Source organism: Homo sapiens, chromosome 2, assembly GCF_000001405.40.
Source record: "Homo sapiens chromosome 2, GRCh38.p14 Primary Assembly".
In the NCBI taxonomy this organism is placed as follows: Eukaryota; Metazoa; Chordata; class Mammalia; order Primates; family Hominidae; genus Homo; species Homo sapiens.
In genome coordinates, this window is record NC_000002.12 from 238,017,874 (window position 1) to 238,031,364 (window position 13,491).

The following is a 13,491-nucleotide window of genomic DNA, read 5'->3' on the forward strand; positions in this document are numbered from 1 at the left end:
AGTGGAGTTGCCCCCCAACCCCAGCCACTGGGCTCCGTTCAGTGGCTGCAACACTTGTTTTAGAAGCAAACCTTCATCTATGGAAATTGACTTTTTACCGGACTACTCCATTTAAGGTTCTTTTTGAAATGTAATTTATGGGGATAGGGAAGAGTTGGCAGCCCAAGAAATTTTTAAATTTGTAGACAAAGATGGGAAAATACACATTTCCAGTCTTTGTCCATCCACCACCTGCTGAGACTTTCCATCCTTCCCAAACCACACTGAGAAACCTGGCGACGGAGCACTGCACCATGTCCGGTGGGAGGTGGTTCCAGAGGCTTGGTTTCAGTACAGATGTTTAGAATTTGGGGACTCTTTGGTGGTTTCTGGAAACAAACAGGCATACAGTATTTAAAATTCTGTATTTAGATTTGCTGCTAAATACTTATGACATACCGTTCTGGATGTCATAGCAGGGAGTTAAGTCTAAGCTGATAAACTTTCCAGACAAGTCGTGAGGCATCAGAGAACCATTGTTTCAGGTATATCTGGCATCATCTAGGAGCAGAGCTCCTTGTTTTCACTATAGGAAGAAAGCAAACTAAGAGAAAATACCAGGGAAGGAATGGGCATGATTGAGAGCCTCTGTGTGCCAGGTGTCTTGACTCACATTACTTTATTTCATTCTTCTGATGGTTCAGTGGGTTATTTATTTATTTATTTATTTAGAGACGGAGTCTTGCTCTGTTCCCCAGCCTGGAGTGCTGTGGCGTGATCTCAGCTCACTGCAACCACCAGCTCCCGGGTTCAAGCAATTCTCCTGCCCTAGCCTCCTGTCAGTGGGTGATCTTAACATTCATATCTTTATACATTAGGAAGTTTGGGTTCTGAAAGCTAAAGTTAAAAACATTAGCTTTGCCAATGGAGACGGCTGAATTGTTGAAGTCACTTAATGTCCAGGGCTGCCCAGCTTTTAAGCGTGTGCCCTTCCTACCACATCAGGTGGTGAGAAAATGTTTGTCATACTGTCTTGTCCCATTTGTGACTTCAAGAAATAGGAAGGAAAATGGAATAAAGAATGACTTGAAAGCCACTGAGCCTTGAAGACTTGTTTCCCTTATTAGTTTCCCTTATTAGTTTGAGACTGGCACAGAGGTTGAGGTGGAGGGGTAAGGCTTAAATTTTCCTGTCCTTGTCTCAGACCTGCTATTCCCCAGCCCCCCTCTCCCCTCCCCACTACTAGTCCCTGTGGGGAAACATCATTCCCATGCAGCCTTTCTGAAGTTCTGTGTGCTGTGTTTGACCTTTAGCTCTGTAACGATGATCTTACATTTTTCTATTTCCACTGCTGTCTCTTTTGGAAGTTTCATAAATGATGGGCTGGTCAGATTTCATCAGGAATAAAACCCCATGTTCTCAAACCCAGAAGTACTGAGAGCAGCTGGTGGCTCTGCATGAACCATGTTCCTACCCTGCTTCTGTAGGGTCCTTTCCTCTCCTTTCCCCAGCGTTTCCTTCCTGTCCCCCCTGCCTTTTTTTTGATACAGAGTCTCACTCTGTTGCCCAGGCTAGCACGATTTCAGCTCACCACAACCTCTGCCTGCGGGTTCAAGTGATTGTCCTGCCTCAACCTCCTGAGGAGCTGGGATTACACGCATGTACCACCACGCCCAGCTAATTTTGTATTTTTAGTAGAGACGGAGTTTCTCCATGTTGGTCAGGCTGGTCTCAAACTCTCGACCTCAGGTGATCTGCCCGCCACGGCCTCCCAAAGTGCTGGGGAGCCACTGTGCTCAGCCTTTTTTTTTTTTTTTTTTTAATGAGATGGAGTTTCACTCTTGTCACCCAGGCTGGAGTGCAATGGCATGATCTCAGCTCACCGCAACCTCTGCCACCTGGATTCAAGTAATTCTCCTGCCTCAGCCTCCGGAGTAGCTGGGATTACAGGTGCCTGCCACCACACCCGGCTAATTTTTGTAGTTTTAGTAGAGACGGGGTTTCACCATGTTGGCCGGGTTGGTCTCGAACTCCTGACCTCAGGTGATCCGCTGCCTTGGCCTCCCATAGTACTGGGATTCCAGCCATGAGCCACTGAACCCAGCCTCCTGTTCCCTTCTCTTGTTTTCTTCCTGTCTGCCTCTCATTCAGGCAAGTGTGGGGCAACTTCTAGGGGCCAGCATATGTCACTGGTGTCCCCAGCAGGGCGTCTCCAGGGGATCATTAGGGTGTAGTACTTGGCTGAACACAAAAGTAGTTGCATTTGCCATATTTATAATGAATCATTGCTTACAGACTCTCCTGAGCATCTCTTTCCCACTGGGCTGTGAGCCCTGAGGGAGTGCCAGCTGTCTTGCCCACACTATTTCCGGTGTGTAGCTTGTGCCTGCCATGCTAGGCAAAAACACAAATTGTTCAGTGGTTGCCCCTCTCTCTGCCCCCTACAAACTTAGTGTAGAAAAGAGATGAAATAATTCAGTCAGCATAGGAAAATCACATAGGCACAGGCATTCAGGATAGAGTGTGAGGGCACACTCTGAGGGCACCAGGTGGGTCAGTGAGAACGGATACAGCAGCCAGTGCGGAGCCTAGGGATGGGCTGGGGCTTCTCAGGGTGCATCTGCTTCACTGCCATGACTGACTTGACACAATTTCTGTACTTCATAAGGACTTGTCTCCTAAGAGTTACAGTTCCTGCAGTGAAGGTCTGTTATTAAGACTGTGAATGTGGAAAACCTTTAATAAAGTCGATCGTTATTTTAGAATAAACTTTTAAAAGAAAAATGTCCATTTGGAATCCCCCACCCCACCCAATATCCCAGCAGCCAAAATTCAAATTTTCTTTGTGTTTTTGTTCCTTTGCCTCTGCAGTTTAACTCCCAGCCTAAAGCCTGCCTTGTAATTTGTCAGTTTAGAAACTGTCCAAACGGATGTAGTGACATTTAGTGGGCTCCTACATTGTGCCAGGCTCCGTGTCAGACACTGGAGGGCCAAGGATGGGAACTTGGTGGCCTTTTAAGAATTTCAGTCTCTGGGGAGACAGACGCTGACATGACAATGAGGAGCCCGGGTGGTGATGTGGGTGACGGCTATTCCTCAGGCTGGTGGGGACGCCCAGAGGAGGAGCACGTGACATGGCCTGGGGATGCCTTGGAGGAGGAGAGAGCCTTAGCCCAGACCCTAGCTGGCCTGTGGTGTCACACAGCCCTCAGGTGCGTCGGTCAGGACTGGTTGGAGGAAGCTGTGTGCTGTAGCAGGAGAAAGGATTACAGCTCTTTGTTCTTGGCTCTGGTTTCCTCCTGGAAGTGAAGACACCACGTCTCCTCACATGTTGTTGGCCAAATCAGATAACATGACCATGGCCAGCCCGGAGGGACTAAGGAAGGCCAGTCCTGCCATGGGCCCTGGAGGAGGAGAGCCAGAGACACTTGTTGAACAGCAGTGATGACGACCACAAGTGACACCTGAACTCCCACTCTCCCTTCTTCTTCATATGAAATTATCAGACTTTGTAGGGAATTGAGACAACACGGCCATGCAAAAATAGAATAATAATAACCTGTAATCTCTCCATCCAGAGATGATCACCCTGACTCTCTAATGTCTGTTGCAGACAGTATAAATTCCACATACCAATGGGGCGATGCTACACATAGTCTGGTAACTTGGGGCTTTCCCGTCATAATATGATGGACGTACACATTCATGTCAGTCAATGCACAATTGCATCATTATTAATAAGAGCACTTCCTTGTATGATGTATCATTTAAACCAGTCCTTTATCATTGGTCACTGGTTGACCAACCTTTTGCAGTATAAAGCAGACTTTCTGTAAAGGGCTAAGCAATAAATATTTTAGGCTCTGTGGACCACATAGTCTCTGTCCCATATTCTTTTTTGTTTTTTCAATAACCTTTTAGAAATGTAAAAACCAGTCTTTGACCATGTGAAAACAGTCCCAGCCTCGATTTGGTCTGTAGGCTGTGGTCTGCTGCCCCAGAATAAATAGGGCTGTGAGGTAAGTCTGGGGCATGCATCTTATGTCTGTCTGCCTCTTTCCTCTGGATCAGTTCCTAGACATGGCATTATGGGTATTGAGTAATTGATGCTCCATTTTAAGGTTCTGGATAAATCCTATTAAATTACCTTGCAGAGAGGAATGCCAGTTGGCATCCTCACCATCCATGTTTGAAAATTCCGTTTCCCTAAGCAATTACCAAGGTAGAATATTTGCCTTTTTGTTGTTGTTGTTGCCATTTTGGGAGGAAATGGTATCTCGTTTAATATCCGATTGTCATTTCTTTTTCTTTTCTTTTCTTTTCTTTTTTTTTTTGGAGACAGAGTCTTGCTCTGTCCCCCAGGCTGGAGTCCGGTGGCACAGTCTCAGCTCACTGTAACCTCCACCTCCTGGATTCAAGCATTATATTTTCATTTCTTAAGTCGGATGCTGAATAGTATTTCCCACTAATAAGCTGTTTATATTTTTTATGAGCTGCTATTATGTCCTTTGCCCATGTTTCCATTGGGGATATTTGTTTTTCTTCTAGATTTACTAGAGTCCTTACAAGCAAAGTATGTGAAACTTTTTTCTTCAGTTTTTTAGCTATGCTGTAAATACTTTCTTTGTTTTGCATTTGCCGTCTTTAGTCGTTGTTCTATACAAGTTTGGTTTTTTTGTTTCACTGCTTGAGTTTTGTATGTTATGATATGCTTAAAGCAGCCTTCAGACCCCAAGATGGTCATCTACATTTTCTTCTAGTCCTATAATTCTCTTTTATGTTTAATTTTAATGCATTTGGAACACTGTGTTTTTCCAAATGGGTAGCCAGTGACCCACCAAATAACCCAGTTCTCTGTTGGTTTGAGAGGCCAGATTTGTCATACATTAGGCTTCTGGCAGGGTGAGTGATGGTGGCCGTGCCAAGCACTGAGGGGGAATGTGGGAGGGCTGGGCATTGCTTGTTGGTCTAGCTGTGGGCCACTGGGGTTGGGGGGAAGGGGCTACAGGCCTAATTCAGTTTGGAAAGTATGTATGTCAGAAGCCAGGTGCAGAGTTTTGCCCTCTGTTCTGGAACCACAGTTAAGAGGACCGTTGACAAAAGGAGGTATCTGTGTTAACATCAAATTATGGAAGGTGTGAAGGGGACAGGAGGAAGGGCGAATACCCGCAAGCCTTTGGGAGATGTGGTAGCACCAGGCTGCATGGTCATGTGTGAGGGCCTCCGCAGAAGGGGTACCTGCTTGGGAGGGAGAGTGAGTTTGCCAATTTTCTAGGTTCCTACAAAAACTGAGAGTTGGTGACTTGGCCTAGCACTAGCCTGCCACCATCCAGTGACCCAGAAGGGGGCACAGAGCCCTGCCCCTCATGGCAGTCTGACCTTCCCTCTGCAGCCCAAATGCCTCAGTAGAAGGGAAAGATGCAGTTCCTCCTTTCTATTAAATACATTCCCATTTATTTGTAGAAAAGCACAATGTGAAATTTATTTAAACTCATTCTGAACCTAAATTCTTTGTCCTCAGACACATGGATTTGCACAGTCAGTTTAATCAGTTTTTTGGAATCTACTGATTTTGTGGTATTTTGAAATTAGGAAGAATGCTCATTATAGTGTCGAAAAAGTATTTTTGCTTTATACAAATAAATAAAAAGATGAAACTATAAAAGTTTACTAGAAAGTTAAAGAGGATATTTGGATGGTGAAGTATTTTCTAAGTATGGCATCAAAGATAAAAATTTGATTACAAAAATAAACTCCTCAGAAAGCATCATAAATAAAAGTTAATAGCAGATGATACACAGGGAAAATGTTACCCATTTCACAAAGGTTTGATTCCTTTTTGAGATGACCTTTCTGATGAGATCCTGTGATTTGACACTTCTGCATATTAACCAAGGGGACCTTTCTGTGGGAGGTCCTGGAGAAGAGGCCCTCTCCCTTACTGCAGGTTGTGGTGGGGTTGGCGGGCGGGGTGTCACATCTTCTGAAGGACATGAGCAGTGTATCAGAAGCTAGGGTTTATGACCAGCAGATCCTCTTCCTGGGCTTCATCCTGAGGAAACATTTCACCCAGGATGAACCCTGCATTGATAGAGCAGGGTTGGGAGAAGAGGAAGCAACCTGAGGGCCCAGAGGTAGGGAAGTGCCTATTAAACTCGGGCAGGTGTACCATGGAATGCAGGATGCCATCTGAAACGATGGCAGAAATAACTAAAACATATGTAGCACAGCTTTCTTCTATAAAGAAAAATGAGTATGCTGCATGCACACTATGTGTGTGGCCTAGAAAAGAGGCATAAACACATGTACATCAGGTGTCACATAATTTCTGGGTAGCATTTTGATGGAGTGTATATATTCTTACATAAAAAACAAAAGTGAAAGACAGCAGAATTTATTAGATATTTACGTATGTTTCTTTTCATTTGTGTTGTCCTTTTCTCTCTGAGTATGGATTGCCTTTGTAACAGAGAAATCTGTTTGGTTTGGTTTGGTTTGGTTTTCTGGTTTGGAGGCAGGGACTCGCTCTGTCACCCAGGCTGGAGTACAATGGTGCGATCATAGCTCACTGCAGCCTACAACTTCTGAGCTCAAGTGATTTTCCCACCTCAGCCTCCTGAGTAGCTGGGACTACAAGCAGGAGCTACCATGCCCAGCTCTTTTTTTTTCCCTGGAGAGACAGGGTCTTACTATATTGCCCTGGCTAATCTTAAACCCTTGGCCTCAAGCAATCCTCCCACCTCGACCTCCCAAAGTGCTGAGATTTTTTTCTCCTGGGTATCTATCATTAATTATATTTTCTTCTTTTAGGTGGCCTCCCAAAGTGAGCCACCATGCCCAAACTAGAAAAATCTTAAAAGAACTTTATCCAAACATGCCAAGTCATAAATGATGTTGATATACTTTATCCCCACAAATTCATTTTCATTCTCTTTCTCTCCTTTAAATGTAAAGTGGACTAGGGCTTTCATCTAGGAAAACGTATGTGACAATAGCATCTTCAGAAAAATCCAGCAAATGGAACAGGCTGTTCTTGCAAGGAGCAGTAACTTTCAGCCATAGTAACTTGTATTGCAAAGGAATCTGGGGCTTCTGATTGGATTTGGACCCAGAGGATGTAGAACTATTCCTTAGAGTGCACTGTGGATACCTTCTGCAGTCCCAAACCCAGGGGGTGTGGGAGGTGACAGAGGTCCAGTCACCAGCACTGTCAGCCGGCAGGACACATGGGGCTTGTAGAGAGGTGCTCAGAAGCCCACGGGTAGACTTTGCTGCTGAGACTAGCCCTTGTGGATGCAGCGCATCAACACATGCCTCATGGGTGAGGTGAGCCAGTATTCAGGGTTGAACACGTGTTCAGCGAGTCAAACTGCACACTGAGTCAGCCATGAAACAAGCGTCTAGATAGGGGATGTGGTAAGGCTCTGGCCTGGAGATGTGATTTGCAGAGACTGTCGGCGTGATCTCTCTCATTGTCTCTGTGTTGCAGCCTCCCAAAGTGAAATGCCTGACCAAGATCTGGCACCCCAACATCACAGAGACAGGGGAAATATGTCTGAGGTGAGTTTATTGTCTTTTCTTTCTTCTACATTCGTGAGTGTCATGTGCAAGCGTTGGGCTTTTAAACATGTTGTCTCCTCTGAAAAGATTTTGAGGCATGGCCAAGATTAGGAAGGGCTTGAACTCAGCTGAAGTAGCTGCGGTTGCCTGCCTGCTCCCAAACCCTACCCTACCTTCTGCCTCCAGACGAGTGTCTTCTCTTGGCCCTCTGGGGGCCACAGCCCTACTAAGTTCTTAGTGCAGCCTCCTTGCCTGCCCAGGATGGACCCTTGGAGTCCCTTGCCTTGTTCCCCTCCTATTTACATGAGAGACCACATTCCCTCCATGTGGCTGATTTTAGCTAAGATGAGAAAATATGATTAATGATAGATACCCAGGAGAAAAAATGTAGATGGCAGGCTTGAGACGACCTTGGGCACTTGTATTTAAGCTGCCCTCTCTCTACCAAAATGGTCCTGATAGATGTCAGGGCACTTAGGGCAGGCAGCCTCTCGGAGCTTCATGCCTGCTGTGACTTGTGTCCCTGATCCCTGGCATGGGCAGAACGTCAGGCATCAGTGATTTCTCCTCCTAAGGCTGCTGGAAAAGTTGTGTAGGTGGATTGGTTGGTTTTTAAAGTAAGTTTCACATTTGGGCTTTATTTTTTCTGCACTTTGTCCCTTTCATCACTTTAAGGCAGCAAGGTTGATTGCAGGGGCTTTGATATCAGACCACCTGGACCTGAGTCCAGCTCGCCGCCCCCGCCCCCACCCCTGCCCGGCTGCCCGGGGCAGCTGTGGGACTTTAGGCTAGGTATTTGAACTGTATGTGCCTCACACTCAGCCAGTTTGGAAAGTAGGCACAAAGTGTTTTCTTAGCACATTTCTCCTACTTTTGACATGAAATGCAATTAGTGGCCTAAGTCATTTCTCATGCTCAACTTCCGTATCTCTTTTCTTTCATTCCTCTCTCCTTAGTAAACACTAATCACCTTTGAAAGGAAATGTGTAAACTGTGGCTGCTGGAAATCTTACCTCAGGATCCCTTTCTCTTTTTTTTTGAGATGGAGTCTCGCTTTGTTGCCCAGGCTGGAGTGCAGTGGCGCGATCTGAGCTCACTGCAAGCTCCGCCTCCCAGGTTCACGCCATTCTCCTGCCTCAGCGTCCCGAGTAGCTGGGACTACAGGCGCCTACCACTACGCCCGGCTAATTTTTGTATTTTTTAGTAGAGACTGGGTTTCACTGTGTTAGCCAGGATGGTCTCAATCTCCTGACCTTGTGATCTGCCCGCCTCGGCCTCCTAGAGTGCTGGGGTTACAGGTGTGAGCCACCGCGCCGGGCCGGATGCCTTTCTCTTCACAAGTACAGTTAGTGCCCATTTGCCCATTTCATTTTTGTATATACTGCTCCTTCTTCAATATCAGCCTCGTTTTTCACAGATGGTTAAAAATACATTTTACCAGACATACCTTTTTAAAAAAGCATCTTCCCTTTGAAGTATCTGTCCTTTACGTATTGAAACATTAAAATTCCACTATCTTTGGTTGCAGGTTATAAATGTGTTTGGCCCAGGCCCCCACTGCCCCGCTTCCTCCTGTGCTTGTGAGGACACCTGGCTCACTTTCTGGGGGGCCATACTCTACTTCCCTGTCTTGTCCCTGCCTTAGTCAGAAATGGGTCCAGAATAGGAAGCTCTCTTGTCCCTTTTGCCGTCTTCTGGGAAGTCAGATGATTAGCAAAGCCTTATAAGGATGAACAGATGGTATCCTGATATAAAAGCCAGACGTCTTAAGGAAAAAGATTGTCAGATTTGACCATGTAAAAATTAAAAACACAAAATGGAAGAAGAAATGATCAACTGGATTAACATCCTTGGTATGTAAATAGTCCTTACTATTCATTATAAAAAAGACGGATACTTCTCTGGAAAAATGTGGCATTGGCTACAAATAGGTGATTCATAAAAGGAGAAATAGAGGTGGGCAGTAAATATCTGAGGAGATGTTCACTCTCATCAGTAACCAGAGAAAGGCGCAGAAGACCATGAAGTGTGGCTTACCACTCACCAGATTGGCAGGCACAAAGGTAGATACTTGGTGGCTGGGGGAGGAGTGTGTGACAGAGAGCGAGCAGGCTCTCTTGTTGGAGGGTGTGTGTATTTGCACACCTTTCATTGGTCCTTCAGCCACGTAGACTACCTGTAACTCGTATGTACCCTTGGACTTGTCAGCTGCACTTCTAGGGATTTAATCTAAGGAAATAATGTGCCAGATTGATGTACGGGGACCACCTTGTTAGTGAAAAGCAGACAGTGTCCAGTGGCAGCTTTATGGTGTGTCCCGAATAAAGGGAAGGAAAAGCCCAACCGCACCTCTGGTTTGTGGTGACGCTGACAGCAGCTCATCAGCCCTTCCCACAGCAGGACTGATGGGTGCCTGGGGCTCCACAGGCCTTTCAGTGCTGGCACACAGGAGCACCTTCCTCTTTTAGAGAGATTTGCCCTGGCTCCACCTTGTTGTCCCGGCAGGGACCCTTCGCCTGCTCTGGCACAAGGTCAGAGGCTCCATGTCTGTGGGATTGGAGGGCCTAGGTCAAGAGCTCAGTCAAAGCTTCTCCTAGAGTCCAAGCTTCTATTACAGTTCGTGGGGTGTCCTTTGTCTCCTTGCTTAATGACATCTCTGATAGCCAAGTGTCTCTGTCTCCTGAGCTGTTGCTGGGACTATCCTCTGTGAGGCCAGGCTAGAACTTCCTCAGTGACTGGAGGCACTGCACCCCTGATGGGCCTCACTGCTGCCCAGACCAGTGGCCACCACATGCTGGGGCCGGCCTTGCCTCCCCATTACCTGCCCCAGCCAGATGCAAAGCCCTCCTGCTCTGGCTGTGCTGTTAACAGCAAAGCTCAGGGTGAGCTTCCTTCTCCTTCATTCAGCTAATGTTGATTGAGCTTAGGCACTGGCAGAGGAATTAGCATTCCCTGCTTTTATGGATGAAACAGGCATTCAACAAATAAATGACAAATATATAACTGAAGGTTGCATTAAGATCTATATAAGAAAATGATTAGCTAGATCAGAAATAATTCCTCCATTCAACAAAATATAGCCACTAGGATTTGACTTCATTCCCAAAAAAGTTATTCAGAAGTTGACAATTCAGATCCACAAGTCACCAATACCTCTGTAGGGTAGAAAGACGTCCACCCAGTTGGTAGGATACATGATTTGAGTTTTCCTTTTTTCTTTTTAAGGCTAAAAGTAAATTTTAATGGTCAATTTAAGGTTAGTTATCTGTTTTTTTTAACTGCTCTTCACAGACAATTAAGATTATAGCTTTGATTCAAACTCTACATATTTTTCTCCTGATCTGAATTGACTTTTGTGAATTTAAACATGCTCTAATTCAAAAAAGTTTATCAGAGGTAACAATTATGGATAAAGCCTGATATTTTATTTACAGATCAAAGCCACAGCACAATAATTCAACAAATACAAAAGTAATTTTATCTCCAGAAGGAAGCTTGGCAATAAATTATACTTTTTTCAAAGTATGGAATGATCATTTAATCCTTTTAAAATTATTTAAAATTTTTTTTTTACTTTTTAAGATTATTGGGAAAATGCTAATCTTCTCTGTATCATCCCAATTTGAGCATATGTGCTGCGGAAGTGAGCACTGGAATGATCATTTCCATGAGAGTATATGGTGTGCCTTTACAGCTGATAGACAGTAATGACCAGGACTCTCAGGTACCAGCTTCAGAAACAGGGCTTCATCAGACCTCTGAATCCTGGTGTGCCTTCCCTGAGCATGGGCCCCCCACCTAAGGAGTGATTGATACTCAGAATTTTGCATTAATCTTTTATCCTCAAGCTTTTTCTTTTGAACTTTAAAAAAATAAAAAAAAAAACCCAGTTACGGCTGGGCGTGGTGGCTCACGCCTGTAATCCCAGCACTTTGGGAGGCCGAGGCGGGCGGATCACGAGGTCAGGAGATCGAGACCATCCTGGTTAACACGGTGAAACCCCGTCTCTACTAAAAATTCAAAAAACAAAATTAGCCGGGCGTAGGTGGTGCATGCCTTGTAGTCCCAGCTACTCAGGAGGCTGAGGCAGGAGAATGGCGTAAAACCGGAGAGGTGGAGCTTACAGTGAGCCGAGATCGTGCCACTGCACTCCAGCCTGGGAGACAGAGAGAGACTCCGTCTCAAAAAAAAAAAAAAAAACCCAGTTATTAAAATGTCATATGCTGGGAGCTCCCATTGTTGTTAACCTGCATCAGCAGTGTTTCAGAATGTCGGTGCCCGTGAGCTGCCTGGGTTGGAAGAACAACATTGTTCATGAGGCGTGTGCCCTTGGGCGTGTCTTCTCTGTGCCTTGGTTTCCTCCTGTATAAGACAGGGAAACAGGGATGCTCTCTTCACGGGTGGTTATAGGCATTAAGTGAATTTAATGGCACAGCACCTAGGATTGTGCCTGACATACACATAATAAGCTCTAAGCTTCAGTTACTCCTGTTGTCATGTTGTCATTTTGTTGCCATTGTCATTTTCTTTCTTTCTTTCTTTTTTTTTTTTTGAGACAGGGCCTCACACTATTCCCAGGCTGGAGTACAGGGGCGCCATCACAGCTCACTGCAGCCTTGAACTTCTGGACTCAAGCAGTCCTCCACCTTTGGGAGTACAGGCGTGCACCACTATGCCTGGCTAATTTTTAATTTTTAGTAGAGACAGGGTATCACTGTGTTGCCCAGGCTGGTCTCAAACTCCTGGACCCAAGCTATCTTCCCACCTTGCCTCGGCCTCCCAGAATGCTGAGATTACAGGCATGAGCCACCATACCCAGCCACCATTGTCATTTTCTGAATATTAAATTGACAAATGTTCTTTGTGTGTTGTTTTAAACATGCTCTTCCTCAGCCTAAAACTTCCATGTCAAGTATTACAACAAATAGATAAACATAACACAAGACGTTATAATTGAATATGTATATAACCTTGGAGGTGGAAATGCCTTCCTCAGCAAGAGAAAACTGAGAAGCCACAGAGGAAAAGATGGGTTTAATAAAAAGTAGAGCTCCTGCATGGCACACACCGAGAGGACTAGTTGGCAGCGTGCAGGGCACCTGTGGCTGCTCCTCACTAACCACTGTGTGTTTGTCTTTTTCAGTTTATTGAGAGAACATTCAATTGATGGCACTGGCTGGGCTCCCACAAGAACATTAAAGGTAGAGTCTGTGCCTTGATCTTGATCATAAGTTGTCCCTGTGGTCCTCTCCCTGCAGTAGCCAGCCTCCCGAGAAAGCAGCACATGTCCTTGCCTGTCACATCCACACCAGTGGCCGGACACACCCTGCCTCCTCTTCTCCCTGCTGCCTAGGCTACTTAGCCAGTCACTGACCTCGGTCAGTTTGGGCCGGATGAGCATCCTTGTTGACTTTGCCAGGCACCATTCTAGAACCAGAGATAGGAGCCCAAACTGCAGGCTTCACAGCCAAACCACCCGCCACATAGGAAACCTCATGGCCATCATTCATTCAACAGGGATGTCTTGAGCTTTTCTGGCCACTAGGTGTTGGAGGAGGAGCAGCAAATTGATGTGCAAACCACTCCCTATGGCCAGAGAAGACTGTCAGGTGTTGGGTACCTAACATCAGGCAGGGACCCTAGGGGAACAGCACAGGAAGGGGCTTTTGGCCCTGGCCCTGCATAAGGGAACACTGCAGACTGCATGCAGTCCTGACCCAGCTCCTCCGAGCTGTAGTCTCTGCCACCATGGGCAGCCCACCCAGCCTTTTCTTAGCCTCTCCCCACGCTCTAGAAATGTCCTGCCCTCTCAGAACTTTCCCTCTGCAGGTCGTGCCTCTACCTGGAAGGCGGCCCTCTCCTCCAGCCCTCTCCCTGGCAGACTCCTGCTCCCCTGGGGCTCAGATGGCTGTCATTGCCTCTGGAGCCTCTCCTCCCAGGGTGGGTGCTCTG

At 46.0% G+C, this 13,491-nt stretch overlaps 1 protein-coding gene, 1 long non-coding RNA gene and 1 pseudogene across 9 annotated transcripts in view, besides 1 other annotated feature; 2 read left to right on the top strand and 1 right to left on the bottom strand.

Annotated features, from left to right (window-relative positions):
• The window catches only part of UBE2F-SCLY (UBE2F-SCLY readthrough (NMD candidate)), a 132,469-nt gene that overhangs the window by 50,929 nt on the left and 68,049 nt on the right, over positions 1-13,491 (top strand). Inside the window, exon 5 of the long non-coding RNA NR_037904.1 lies at positions 12,683-12,740. This is a non-coding gene — a long non-coding RNA (UBE2F-SCLY readthrough (NMD candidate)). The remainder of the gene's footprint in view (positions 1-12,682; positions 12,741-13,491) is intronic.
• UBE2F (ubiquitin conjugating enzyme E2 F (putative)) overlaps positions 1-13,491 on the top strand; it is a 75,769-nt gene that overhangs the window by 50,860 nt on the left and 11,418 nt on the right. For 7 of the 8 annotated variants that reach the window (NR_103500.2, NR_103498.2, NM_080678.3 and 4 more), the window contains 2 exons: positions 7,469-7,539; positions 12,683-12,740. Coding sequence is in view for 5 of the 8 variants with exons in the window: in NM_080678.3 (NP_542409.1) it covers positions 7,469-7,539; positions 12,683-12,740 (129 nt within the window). In the remaining 3 variants the exon portion in view is untranslated. The remainder of the gene's footprint in view (positions 1-7,468; positions 7,540-12,682; positions 12,741-13,491) is intronic. The other variant, NR_103499.2, reaches the window with a different exon arrangement.
• Positions 10,225-10,838: an enhancer, noted in NCBI's record as "H3K27ac-H3K4me1 hESC enhancer chr2:238936739-238937352 (GRCh37/hg19 assembly coordinates)". NCBI's record gives its function as "activates a minimal SCP1, AML or CMV promoter by ChIP-STARR-seq in naive H9 embryonic stem cells {active_cell/tissue: H9 hESC(naive)}" and the evidence as "EXISTENCE:reporter gene assay evidence [ECO:0000049][PMID:30033119]".
• RNU6-1333P (RNA, U6 small nuclear 1333, pseudogene) lies at positions 11,098-11,190 on the bottom strand (annotated as a pseudogene).